The sequence below is a fragment of the Homo sapiens genome, chromosome 2, assembly GCF_000001405.40.
Source record: "Homo sapiens chromosome 2, GRCh38.p14 Primary Assembly".
NCBI classification, from domain to species: Eukaryota; Metazoa; Chordata; class Mammalia; order Primates; family Hominidae; genus Homo; species Homo sapiens.
The window spans coordinates 214,992,436-215,005,017 of NC_000002.12; the positions used below are offsets into that span (position 1 = coordinate 214,992,436).

The 12,582-nt window shown below is 36.3% G+C and overlaps 1 protein-coding gene across 4 annotated transcripts in view; it reads right to left on the minus strand.

The window, feature by feature from the left end:
- Nucleotides 1-12,582, minus strand: part of ABCA12 (ATP binding cassette subfamily A member 12) — a 207,085-nt gene that overhangs the window by 60,894 nt on the left and 133,609 nt on the right. For 3 of the 4 annotated variants that reach the window (NM_173076.3, XM_011510951.3, NM_015657.4), the window contains 4 exons: nt 11,774-11,864; nt 9,123-9,302; nt 8,270-8,585; nt 5,260-5,374 (listed from right to left, as the gene is read on the minus strand). In NM_173076.3, coding sequence (NP_775099.2) covers nt 5,260-5,374; nt 8,270-8,585; nt 9,123-9,302; nt 11,774-11,864 — 702 coding nt within the window. Of the gene's footprint in view, nt 1-5,259; nt 5,375-7,352; nt 7,409-8,269; nt 8,586-9,122; nt 9,303-11,773; nt 11,865-12,582 lie in introns of all 4 variants that reach the window. The other variant, NR_103740.2, reaches the window with a different exon arrangement.

Sequence of the window (12,582 nt, forward strand, 5' to 3'; positions counted from 1 at the left end):
CTGTCTCAAAAAGAAAAAAAAAAAATGAAAAAAAAAAAAAAACAATTCATGATTAATGTTAAGCCTATCAACCTAGTATCCCCCCCCTTTTTTTTTTTTTTTTTTTTAGGAAAAAAAAAAGAACAGAGGAAATCTCCACTAACTGGCCGGGCACAGTGACTCACACCTGTAATCCCAGCTGTTTGGGAGTCTGAGGCAAGCGGATCACCTGAGGTCAGGAGTTCCACACCAGCCAGGCCAACATGGCAAAACCCCATCTCTACTAAAAATACAAAAATTAGCCGGGCATGGTGGTGGTGCCTGTAATCTCAGCTACTCAGGAGGCTGAGACAGGAGAATAGCCTGAACCCAGGAGGTGGAGGTTGCAGTGAGCCGAGATCATGCCACTGCACTGCAGGTCCAGCCTGAGAGACAAGAGTGAAATTCTGTCTCAAAATAAATAAATAAATAAATAAATAAATCTCCACTAACAGCTTTATAACCCAATTTTTTCTTTTTTCAAAATCAAGGATAGTCAATGCCCCACCCCCTTAAACCTAAGTTTTCCAGGAAAAAAAAATTATAGCAAATGCATCGGATCTTTTGCTCTACGAGCAAAATAGTGAATTTTACTTTCTGCTTTGGTAACATCACATTTCGATAACTCTGCTGCTCCAGTTGTTACCAGGGAAACAGCTACCTGGCTGCCAACAGCCTAAGCTGTGGGCTTTAAACTAATCACCACTGAGAAAGACCCTGTGACTTTCCCTCTTAACTTTGCCCTCTTTCTCACCTTCTTCTCTCCCTAATGTTTTTCTCCTCCAAGGCCCTGTCACCATTTGTAGTAAAGACTCAACCTATGCTTCCGTGGGAATGGAAAATATGGGTCAAAGTAGCATGAAGCAAAGGTCACTATGGAAAGTTTCCCCAATTGCTACACATGCTATCATTGAAAACAAAACTACAGTTTGGTGTGAAAAAGACCTCAGATATCTTATTCCAGCAATTCTTTGCGTGTACCCTACCCCATTTGAAAAAATTACTGTGTCATGTTTGGCGACTATTTCAGAGATATTCACCTGTTCCAATATGATATGTTAGTCCTTTTTATTTCCCTTTCCTACTATTTGTATTTTCAGATTTTTATGCCTATTTGAATATAATTAAGTGGGGAGTTATGGAACCTATATTACTACTTCCCAAGCTGATATTTACCACAGTTTTATGTAGCCTATACAAACATATTTCGTCCCAGTGGTAATGTATGTAAGTAGGAGACAATGTCAATATATTTCCCAAGGTGGTTTATAAAATATCTAGACCATATCAAGGCCACAAAATAAAGCTGATGTCATGTGTATAAACGTGTTTTTCTTCCCTGACAATTGATAGCTTTCTAGAAATCACTTATATATTGAGAATGTTCTTCATTCATAGGCTTGTTAAAAGATAATTTGGCAGGCTTGAACACCAGGACTAAAGGTGTTTAATCACTGTAATTTTGAAATTTTTGATACTCAAGATCAGATTCCAGTCCCAGGAATTTGCAAAAGTTAGAGACTCATCATTTTGCTTTTTCCTGAAACAGGGTGAGTTAGGTGCTTCCAAAAGCATTCACTATTTAACATTCTAGCATGAAACTTCAGTGTTAAACTTCAGGATTTTATGCCACGAGGAAAACAGCTGCTATTCATAAAGAGAAAGACCAGTGAGAGCATATAAGTCATCCATAAATTATCCAGATTCACTGCCAACTTTGTTGTAATAAACAAGACCAAATTTGCTGATGGAAGGGGGCCCACCGAGAGCGGCTAGATGTGCTTTCTTGGATGCCATTAGTTCCTCCTCAAAGTGACAGATGTCAGGTGCCAGCTTTGTAATCAGAGAGTCACTTTTATCAAGCCTCCCAAACCTGCCAGAGCAATTCATCAATATCTGATAACCTGTTGCTCAAAGAAAACCCCGCTGCCTAGTAGCCAAAGTCTGCCCAGTTTATAGCAGAGAATAAGAAAGAGATTCTAGAAGAGTTTGGATAAATGTGTTGCCACATTCATGAGAAGCTTATGCACAGGGGTTGACGTAAATACTGCCAAGAAAAGAAATCAGAAATACTCATATATTTACTTGAGAGCAATGTCTTCATTCAATTCTGCAAGAATGTCAAGTACTAACTCATAAGGAATAATAACATTTTCTACCTCAATTTCTATAATTCTATTGACAATAGACATTTATATTATTGTTTTTTTTAGTATGATATAAAGGATGTTGTGATCATTACTGGAAACATTTCAAATTCCCACTGGTGGGGTGGATTAATGTATGTCAGGAAAGCACAAAAAAATTGTTTAATGTGAAGTACTAGGAGACTAAAAAAATCTTTGTTTAATTCTTGGTAACACCTCTGCGGCCCACATATATTTTAGGCTACCTGTCTGAACTGAGAGAATGACTCCAAAATTCTGTCTCCAACAAAATATAAGCACTGAAAGTCCCATACATGACTTACATTAGATCAAACAGATGAATCGAACTCATAAACCATGAAAATAATGAGAAAAAATATACTCTTCTGTATATGTTATAAAATCAGATTTTTATAGCTTCAGTATTTTAATTTTTAAAAGCAAAGTGCAGAACAAAACCCAATCGAAAGGCATTTTTTAAGTACTTTTTTTATACTATGGGCTTACTTTAATAAACTTATTAGATTTGTGCTAATTTATTTAACAAGGGAAAGGGATTCATGGAATCATACCATAACAAAGTCAAAGATAAGTGGCTTCATTGAGATAGCAATTAACTTGGTTTTCTTGCCAGGACTGAGAATAATTACAGAACGAAAAGGGGAGAATATTGATTTTACTTACCTTTTTGGTTTAATTTGAATGAGAAAGAAGTAGGACTTGGGCAGCTTTAGACTTTATCAGAATATGAAAAGATAGTATTAAAAAGTGACTTTGAGTTTCTGGTAACTTAAGAGATTATCTATCATCATCTGCAAATGTCCTTAGAAGTCTGTGTTACTAAAGTAAGATTCTAAGGGTAAAGGTAGCTATGATCTGGAAGAGGATTGGTTGGAAGTCAAAATACTTCCGTTCTACTGCCAGATCTACCATTAACTAGCTCCAAGGTCTTCAGCAAGTCACTTCTCACTTTCTGAGCTGAACCTTACATCTTTAAAAAGGAGGAGTTTAGATGAGAACTGTGGGCAGTGGAGCGAGGCTGAGCAGGAGGCACTAGGGACATCCCACTCCTTCCACGCTCACCTCCATCAATTCATTTCATAAACACACTGTATTTCTTTGAATTTAGAACACATTGAGGATGTGCCACTATTTTACATGCCACCAAGAAAGAAAGATTACTGCCAAATAAATCGTGACACCCTATCAAATGTATCCCAATTTCCAAGGCTTTAAAAAGGGGGGAAAATCAATGTCTTAGAATTGATAAAATATGAATAATTGAGCTCCTCTGTTCTGGCAGAGAGAGAGAGAGCTACATTCTGGAAATAAATGTTGAATGAAGTCTAGATGATCAGACTCAAAGGGTTTAAGAGACTGAGCCCGAGTGTATATGGCTGGTAGAATTGGAATACAAAACCTGATATTCTGATTACAAGTTCAGTGATCTTCCACCATGTGACTTTGACCCCAAGACAAAGGTGGTTAAATTTCAAAGGTAGACGCAGGCCAAATGGAGACACAGAGCTACCAAACAGAAACTGGTTCATAGCTAAAAACAAGTCTTTTGCATTTTCAGTTGAGAAATGACTTTTCGTTATGCTTTGATAATTTTTGGTGACATACATAGATGCATTCAGAGAGCATCATCTTCAAACATGAAATAATACAATGTGTGTGTATTATATACACACAGTTTTATTATATGCATATACATTTGTATATATACTGTATGCATACATGCTTCTATTTACTGTTTCTATCACAAGTAATATTTTAAAGGTAGGTATTAATTTTGAAGTAGAAATGGACTCTGTTTCTGTCACAGTTTCTATCTCAAAGATTTTCTTTACTCTGTGATGATTTGCTTCTGAATACTGGGAACCTGAAAGATAACTAGAAGGGAGGGGCTTGCAATCATAATTACGGTTGAAGGCATGGATTCAAGTTTCTAAATTGGAATTAGAAAACCATTGCATACAGTCCTGAAAACAACAGGACTCAAACTAGTTGATGAGAAGTTTACCAAATTATAACTGAAATATAAAAATGCAGCTGTGTGGATCAACCAAAATTCAAACAGAAGAGGTAAAAAATATAAGTTCAAATACGGGGACAACCCTGAAAGCCTGATGCTGAACTAACAGAAATATGTAGCAGCAACTTGTATCTTATAGGGAGAAATGATCAATTGTCTAAAAGCATTGGCAAGGTAAGTCTGAAAAGGACAAGTGGATGGACGGGTTCCTCTAACCTCATTATTTCAGAATTCAGCCAGGCCTTGCAATAATTATTGTGCCCCAGTTTTGAAATGTTTCACCTTTGTTTCCACTCCATGAGTGAGTATAAGAAGGGACTCATTATGGGATAAGTAGATAAAATAATTTCTACTCAAATACAATCTAAAAATCACATAATGCTTTATCATAAATTCTAAAAAGAAGTAAGATATTTTGGATTTGGGGTTAATGATGAAGAACGTGCCCAGAAAGAGGTCATGCATCACACTCCTGGTTCTGTCTTCCATTGTGATATGGTTACTAACCCAATCAGTAGCATAACATGAAATTCTTAGTTTCTATAAGTCAGGAGTCAGTGGGAAATGGAGAAGGTAATTGAAGGAGACAAGGTATACTGGAAAGAGAATTTTCTTTGTGAGAGCCGAAATATGCCATATGTCTATGTCTATGTTTATAGCTCTATCTATATCTACATTTGGGTTATTTTAGTTACCATGCCAACAATCTCTCTGCCTGAACAGTTGTTATTGTTGTTATTTAAACTTCCTCTGTTAGATCCTAAGTCCTATAGGTAATTTCTTGGGCAAAAAATTACTCCAGGAATTATCATTGTACTCATATTTTATTCAGATGTTGTTTTTCAAAAGCACTTATTAAGTGACTTTTATGTCACTTTTTGAGAAAATAAAATATTGCCTTATCAGCTGCTTTTGTGATTTGTAAAAGGTTTTTCTTTCTGTTTAATTCACAAGGGATAAGTTAGGCTTTCTGAAGTTTATAAAGGCATGATGAAAATCATAGTAATTGTTCTATGAACAGGACTTATTCATAACAAGAAGTGATTTTCAACATACCTCATGAAGCCGGAGGTCTTTCTCATAGACAAGCTTTTTTACAAAGGCAGCTATAAATACAACCCAGGCAACCATAAGCACAATTGGAAGAGAATAAGAGACACTGGTTAGGAAGCTGTAAAACAAACAAAAAAAGAAAAATTCAGCGACCAAAATGAACACCATACTTGCAGAGATTATAATATATAAAGAACTCACTCTCTCTTACATTGAACTTATGATCGTGTTTTGAAATTGAAAATAATCGGTATTACCCCATTATTTACGAAGCATGAAGCTGATTTAACCATAGGTCTGTGATTTTTTTAGTGTAATGTTTCAAGAGTAAGAAAAAAAAAAGCTCTGGATTATTACATAAAATTGCCATATTGTTTAAATTGTGTTTGAGTATGTGTCTGGGAAAATAATTACTATATAGATATAATTGCAAGGCTCAAAACCTTTATGTCTAAACTAAATTCTTATCTAAAAGGCAGATTTAAAATGAGACGATGATTGGTTTACCTAACTAAAAGCTATATCTTCCAAAATTACTGTATTTATAGCTACTCTTAGGAAGATCATAGTTATTATGAAACTAAATTTCTAAAAATGAAATAAAATCTAAAGCATTCATTTGTTTTTGTTTGTTTGTTTGTTTTTTAGTAGAGATGGGGTTTCACCATGCTGGCCAGGCTGGTCTCGAATTCCTGGCCTCAAGTGATCCACCTGCCTCGGCCTCCCAAAGTGCTGGGATTACAGGCATGAGTCACTGTGCCTGGCCCAAAGCATTTGATTTAAAATGCAGACAAAGAACTTGGATTCCTCAAAGTAATGCTCTGGAAGATGCTTTATACATGGTATAGAAATGTCTATTTTGATGATGTGCTCAACTAGAGAATCACTGGAAGACATCCTCAAGCCCAGATGTATTCCTCAATGTCCTGCTCATGAAACCTGAAAGTTAAATTGGAGTGGTTCTCAAAGCACCCAAAGAGATTACTAAAACACAAGTTTCTGGGCCCCAGCCTCTGATTTATTATATCTGGGTGGGACCATCTATTTGCTTTTTAAACAACTTCCCAGGTGATACTGATGCTGCTGGTCCAGAGACCACACCTTAGGAGCCATGGTTCTGACAATTGATGCCCTTATTTGAGCTGAGGCAAAAGCAGTAGATGTCGATGAGAGATTCTAAGTTGCTCTGTTTATGTGTTGGGCTCCACTCAAGCTTTCACTTGGAGAAAGGTCCCAAGGCCATTTCCTTTTTTAATCTACAAGACTAAAAAATTACCTCCAAGTACCCCAAGAAAAATGTAAATATTAATGAAGCATGAGATCACTATCATTCAGTATCACTTTAGCATGCAGAAGTGTGTCATTATCAGAGAGATGAGGTGTTTTTTTGGTGAGGGAGCAGTGGGAGTTGAGGCCATATTCCATTTTTTTTGTTGTTGTTTCCTGGGAAACTGTATGGCATGGGGTAGGCATTTACAGACTACTTCTTGAATGAATTTTGTTTTGGTTCAGGTACAGCCTTGAAGTGATTTCTGGATCTAGAACTAGGCAAAGGCCTTCATTCATTAACAACAAATCCCCTGTAATGTTTCTTCCAAGTGATAGTGTATTTTAGATTTGGTCTAGTATAAAGCAGAAATGTTGGTCTTATAAACAGGAGGACTAGTGTAGTACCAGTTATATTATCTTGGGCAAGTTAATTAGCCTTTCTGGATTTCAGTTTTTTCATCTGGAAAGTATGGACAATAATTCCTGCTCCTACTTACATTATGAGGTTGTTGGGTGAAACAAATGAAATAATTAATGGGAAATCACTTTATATGCAACAGTGTATATGTGTGTAAGGCATAATGAACATATTCCCATAAAGAATACAGACTGCACACCCAGGTACCCACCATCCTAGGTACCAAAATTTATAAGGGGAACAAATGAGCAGGGAACTAGATAAGAATTATAACTTCATTGACCCCATAGATCTTTATAATTTGTGCAAACCATTGCAGTTCACACATAGTTCGGGCAGCACAGTCCCGTCCACAACAGCCTCCACAATAGCCAGCTAACCTTGACAGTCCACTTGATGGACTCCTTACCTGCTTCCTCATGCTACTGTTGCACTGGGTTACATTACCTCATCTCATTTATAACTCTTGAAGTAGCCAAGGGAGACAGAAGCATTGAAAGAAAGAAAAAAGAAGAGAAAAGAAAAATCCAATACCATCTGAATTGTATATAAACTGCAATAACTGGGTTGCGTAGCATGTTCAATTCCTTTAAAGTAATATTCAGCCTCAAGCTTTTATATAGGAAGGTGAGCTTGAAAACCATAATCTGCTTATTTTTTAACCATCTACAGAGTGAAGGAAGCATTCAGTGCTACCCAACTGGCAGATTTCTCGAACATTCAAATTGAATTGTCTAAAAGCATTATTGTTACTTTTTTATTCATCTAGAAAAACCATTTTAGATATAGAGGATTCCTAGCAAATGAACTGATAATACATGAAAGTTTCAGGTAGCACAATATTTATCTGAAATAGTTGATCAAAATGTGTTCAAGGTTTCTTTTATCAATTTGTTTTCTTAAAATTGATCATGCGCTCAGATTTTTTAAAATCCGATTTGGGAGTTGGAAGGGATTTTAAGATCGTCTTGTTCATCCCTTTCATTTGACTAGAGGGAGGTAAGCCCAGTAGACAGTGGGGAACATCAAAATCATGCAGCAATGTACTCAGGTCTGAAGTCCAATTATTCCAATTTTAGGGCCAGAATTTTTGGAGAGCTAAGGGTTTTTATAGATCATTTGGTAAACACTTTACCATCATTTTGGTATTGATGAGCAGTTATGATGAAGCTATGCCCTATAGTGTGAACTCTTTCTCAAAACAAGCATATTACAAAAGTTTGGTGAATGTTGTTCCTTTCATGTAATACATCTGAATGAATGGACTGAAGTGAGTTCTCAGAAAAGTTGTTGATCATTAAAAAGGCTGGAAGTGCACACACTTACTTGTCTTTCATGAAGCAGGGATAAGGAATTGCTTGAACCTGGACTGCTATTTCCTGGGAGTTCCTTCCAGTTTGCAATTCAATGATTGCTCTTTCAATACTATCCTGTAAATAAATAAAAGCCCTGCCATAGATCTGGTTGTGTGATGGAGAATTGTGTGGCCCTGGAGCCCAAATCTTGGTTCTTAGGCTTCTTGTGGTCTGTGCGGTCTTGAGACTCATCCGGATGGTATATTTTATGACAGGAGGAAGAAAGACATTTCCAGAGTCATAGCCTCTGTGCCAGCTTCTGTTAGAAGGAAGCTTAAAAATAACACCTAAAAATAAAATGGCAACAACAGCAGAAAGGTTATTTTATGGTTGACGTTATTCATTGTTTGGAGAGTACACAGAGGGGACAGCCAAACAGTCAATTGAGTTAGTAATGTGACAGTAGGTTCAGGTTCTTAATTTACAGAAAACATGGTTAATTGGAGGTGTCAACCTCAGAAATTCAAAGCTGGAGTTTAAGAATATAATCACCAACTAAGTAGACAGATTAAATGCACCATTCTAAGCCACTTATTAATATAAAAACACTTTTAGATAAATAATGACTGATTATGAGGATGGACTCAACTTCACTCTGTAACTATGTAATCCTTTTCAATCTTAATTTGAAGTACACCAACAAAATTAGACATACTTAGAGATTATAGTTGGTTGCCTACATGAAAGGTTCTCTTTTCTAAGGACATCAGAGGACCTAAGGACCCCCACACTAGTTTTCTGAGTTCTGGATGAAAGACATGAGGAAAGAATTTGGCCAATTTTAGCACAAAGAGATGCTCAAACCCTAATAGAACAGCACTTACTTCCAAAGAGTTCGTTGCTTTTGTAGAGCCTTTTAGCCTCTCTCTCCATTTCATCTATGGTTTTTGCTGCCTGAATACGGTCATATAATACACAAGAGGAAATATTTACTGTCAGGGAAGATAGTGTGTTAAGCTGATCGATGATGTCAATGTTGTTCTCTAATTTCAGTCTTAGAATATCTAAAGAGGCAAAGCAAAAGAGACAAAAAAAAATTATGGTCCTGATTCTGGTCGTAATTAGATGAAATACTGATTTTTTGTAAATACTAAACTAGATTATAAATAACAAAAGCCTGCAGAATTTACTCTAAAAATATCTAGTATTCTACACCAAAGAAAATGGGTCGTTATGCAAATATTCATTGAGGAGCCAAGCTAGTTACAAATACAGTAAACCTAGGTTCTAAGAAAGATACAAGATAACTTAAAAGTATATTTTGTTACAATTTAATAACAAAGAACTAAGATGAATAAATTTTTAAAAATCTATCTACATGTAGTTAGGACAAAAACTATAAACCAGAGATGTGAGTTTAGAATAAACTAAACAGAAATGCCTGCTTTGTACACGGAATGTGAATGCACAAACTGAAACAAAGGAAAGTCTATGTAGAATGCATAGGATAAATAAACTGTATTATTACATAAGCTGTGATATAGAAACACTTAAGATACCTGAAAATATATGCCACATAGTTGTGAGTTTCTAATACTGTTTGACTTAAAATCTTATGTGTATATCTTAAAATTAATACTTTTGATATCTGTATTAATCTGACAAAATGATCAGGATTTTATTTTGGGTAATTACTCTGGAATAAAGGGGACTTAATTTCTCTTCAATTTTATGATTCTTTGTGAGGAAATCAACCGGGACAAAGGGTAAATATGAAATTGCAAGTTAACAAATCATTTGGCCAATTACATTTTTACTGACTTGATCATCATGAATGCTGAGAAGGCTGCGAATATCATAAATCCCTCCTTCACAGAACCCAGACATGTCTCTTACATCGTCCAAAATAGGACTAAATTTCTCACAGAAGACAACTTCTTAAATGCATTTCTCATTAGAATTTAAAGTGAAATGTTTTACTTGATGTAGATGTTGGTGGGGGAGGGGTAAATTGTGGTTGAACAGTGGCCTCCAGCGGCCACTGGAAATCAACACAACACCAAGGAATTATTTAGAAATTCTGGTAGACAGGATCATAAAAACACTTCAAGGGGTCAGAGTCCCCCGAATTCAAACTATATAACCTCTTCAATACTAAGTTACATGTGTAATTATACAAACATAAGAGTCTCAGTGCTACGTTCATTTTAATCTTATTTTAAATTCTTAGCCTCACTTCCTAGTTCAGAAGTTAGAAATGACAAAATTTATCTAAGAACTTTGCAGTTTAGCCCTGATGTGTTAATCAAATAGTTCCTTGCCCAAATGATACTTTTAGAGAGTAAATCCACTAGTACCTTTATTTAATCAAGCTGGGTTGACTATCATAATATGTGTACAATCATATACAATACAAATATAGGCATAATTCTTCCCCAGTGGTTTAGAACCTAAATCATTTACGTCCCAGCAGTGCCAGGGAGGGGGAGGGGCGTTTGCTCTGCTACTGCCAAATTCTGATGCTCTCAATCCGTTTCTCATACCCATGGTTGCATAGCAACAGTGAATCAGACACAGCCTGAATTAGATGTCTTGCATCCCTTAGGTTGAAGGTGGGGACATGGCAGAGGGAATGCATAAGTTTAGACAGCTTCCTTTGATCTTCTGCAGCCTCTTCCTTTTAAACGACCATGTGAGGAGGACCCAACCTTGAATACTGATTTCAGTGTATTTTCTTTTGAGTCTCCCCATTGCGTTTTTCTTGCTTTTGCTAACTCTATATCTCTTCTAATTACATTCTGGGTTAGTCAAGTGATACTGAGGCCAGTGGAGATAAAAATGTTAAATGTAGCCAGAAATAAATAATTTCATTTTCCCTTGTCCTTAAGGACTTGCATTTCATCAAGTCACTAAAATAAAGTGCTCCCTTACTTCTAACAACCTACCTATGATTGAAGAAAAAAACTGCATTTATATTACATTATTATAATAATAATAATTTTTTTTTTTTTGAGACAGGGTTTTACTCCTGTCACCCAGGCTGAAGTGCAGTGGCATGATCTTGGCTCACTGAAACCTCCACCCCCCAGGTTTAAGCAATTCTCCTGCCTCAGCCTCCCAAGCAGCTGGGATTACAGGCGTGCACCACCATGCCCAGCTAGTTTTTGTATTTTTAGTAGAGATAGGGCTTCACCATGTTGGCCAGGCTGGTCTCGAACTCCTGACTTCAAGTGATCTGCCCGTGTCTGCCTCCCGAAGTGCTGGGATTATAGGCGTGAGCCACCACGCCTGGCCTACATTATAATTATTGAAACTAACTACAGACACTGGGCATCCAAATAATCATGACTACTTGTAATTGTACAACTAACTGGGAAGAAGATAGGGGGGATATATCCAGGGTCTCATTTTTCTTTGAGTAGCTAGCTACAAACTAAGTACAGGAGAAAAGGGGGGAAAATGTAATCATATGGAACAATGTTGTTTATATGTCCGACATGACTCATGAATAAAAGCTTTGTGAATTTGGACTCACCGAGTTCATCTATCTGTTTCAATAGTTCAACAGCATCGAGTCCCACGGAGAACTTTACAAAAACTTGCACAAAAGGGTTCCTTAGAGTATTCTAACAAATAATAATTAAAAATCAGTTTCAATACAAGAAAAATCATGTTTGACATTGTCTCTCTAATAACCACCACAGTGAAGTGCAGTAACCACAACTGGGCATTATCAATGCACTGTCTTGCAAAGGCTCACAGAGAAATCCTTGAGAAGAAAAGAGAAGATTGGGGGTTGGTAATGACTTGACAGGCTGGGCTGTTGCTTGTCTATAGATACAAATTGGTCAGCATGCACAGTGGCCAGATGTGACTACAATTATCAACATTAGAAATTTATATTCGATTTAACAGGATTTTTCCTCATGGCTATATTATTCCTTTTTAATGTATACTATACACAATGTTGTGATTCATGGTTGAACTTTGTTCACTTGAAACAAAACTCTTAAAAATCATGATGTCTCCGTGGAATCTGACATCACAACTGATTTGTATTCAAGTTCTACTACTTCCTAGCCTGAAGCTTTTAGCAAGTACCGTTTCCAGTCTCAGGTAACCTTTTGGTGAAGTAGGTAAGAATGCCTCATCACATCAGAATAGTCCATTTCAATTATTATAATATTATTTTTGTACTGTCGTAAGTGCAACTATGTGAATATGAAAGAATAAATTGATGATAAAACTTTAAACTCTATCAATGGAAAGGCTGAAAAATTAAAAGAAAAACATAATTGCTTTAAAATATAAAGGCCTTTATAGCTATTTGCCAAATTAGAAGAC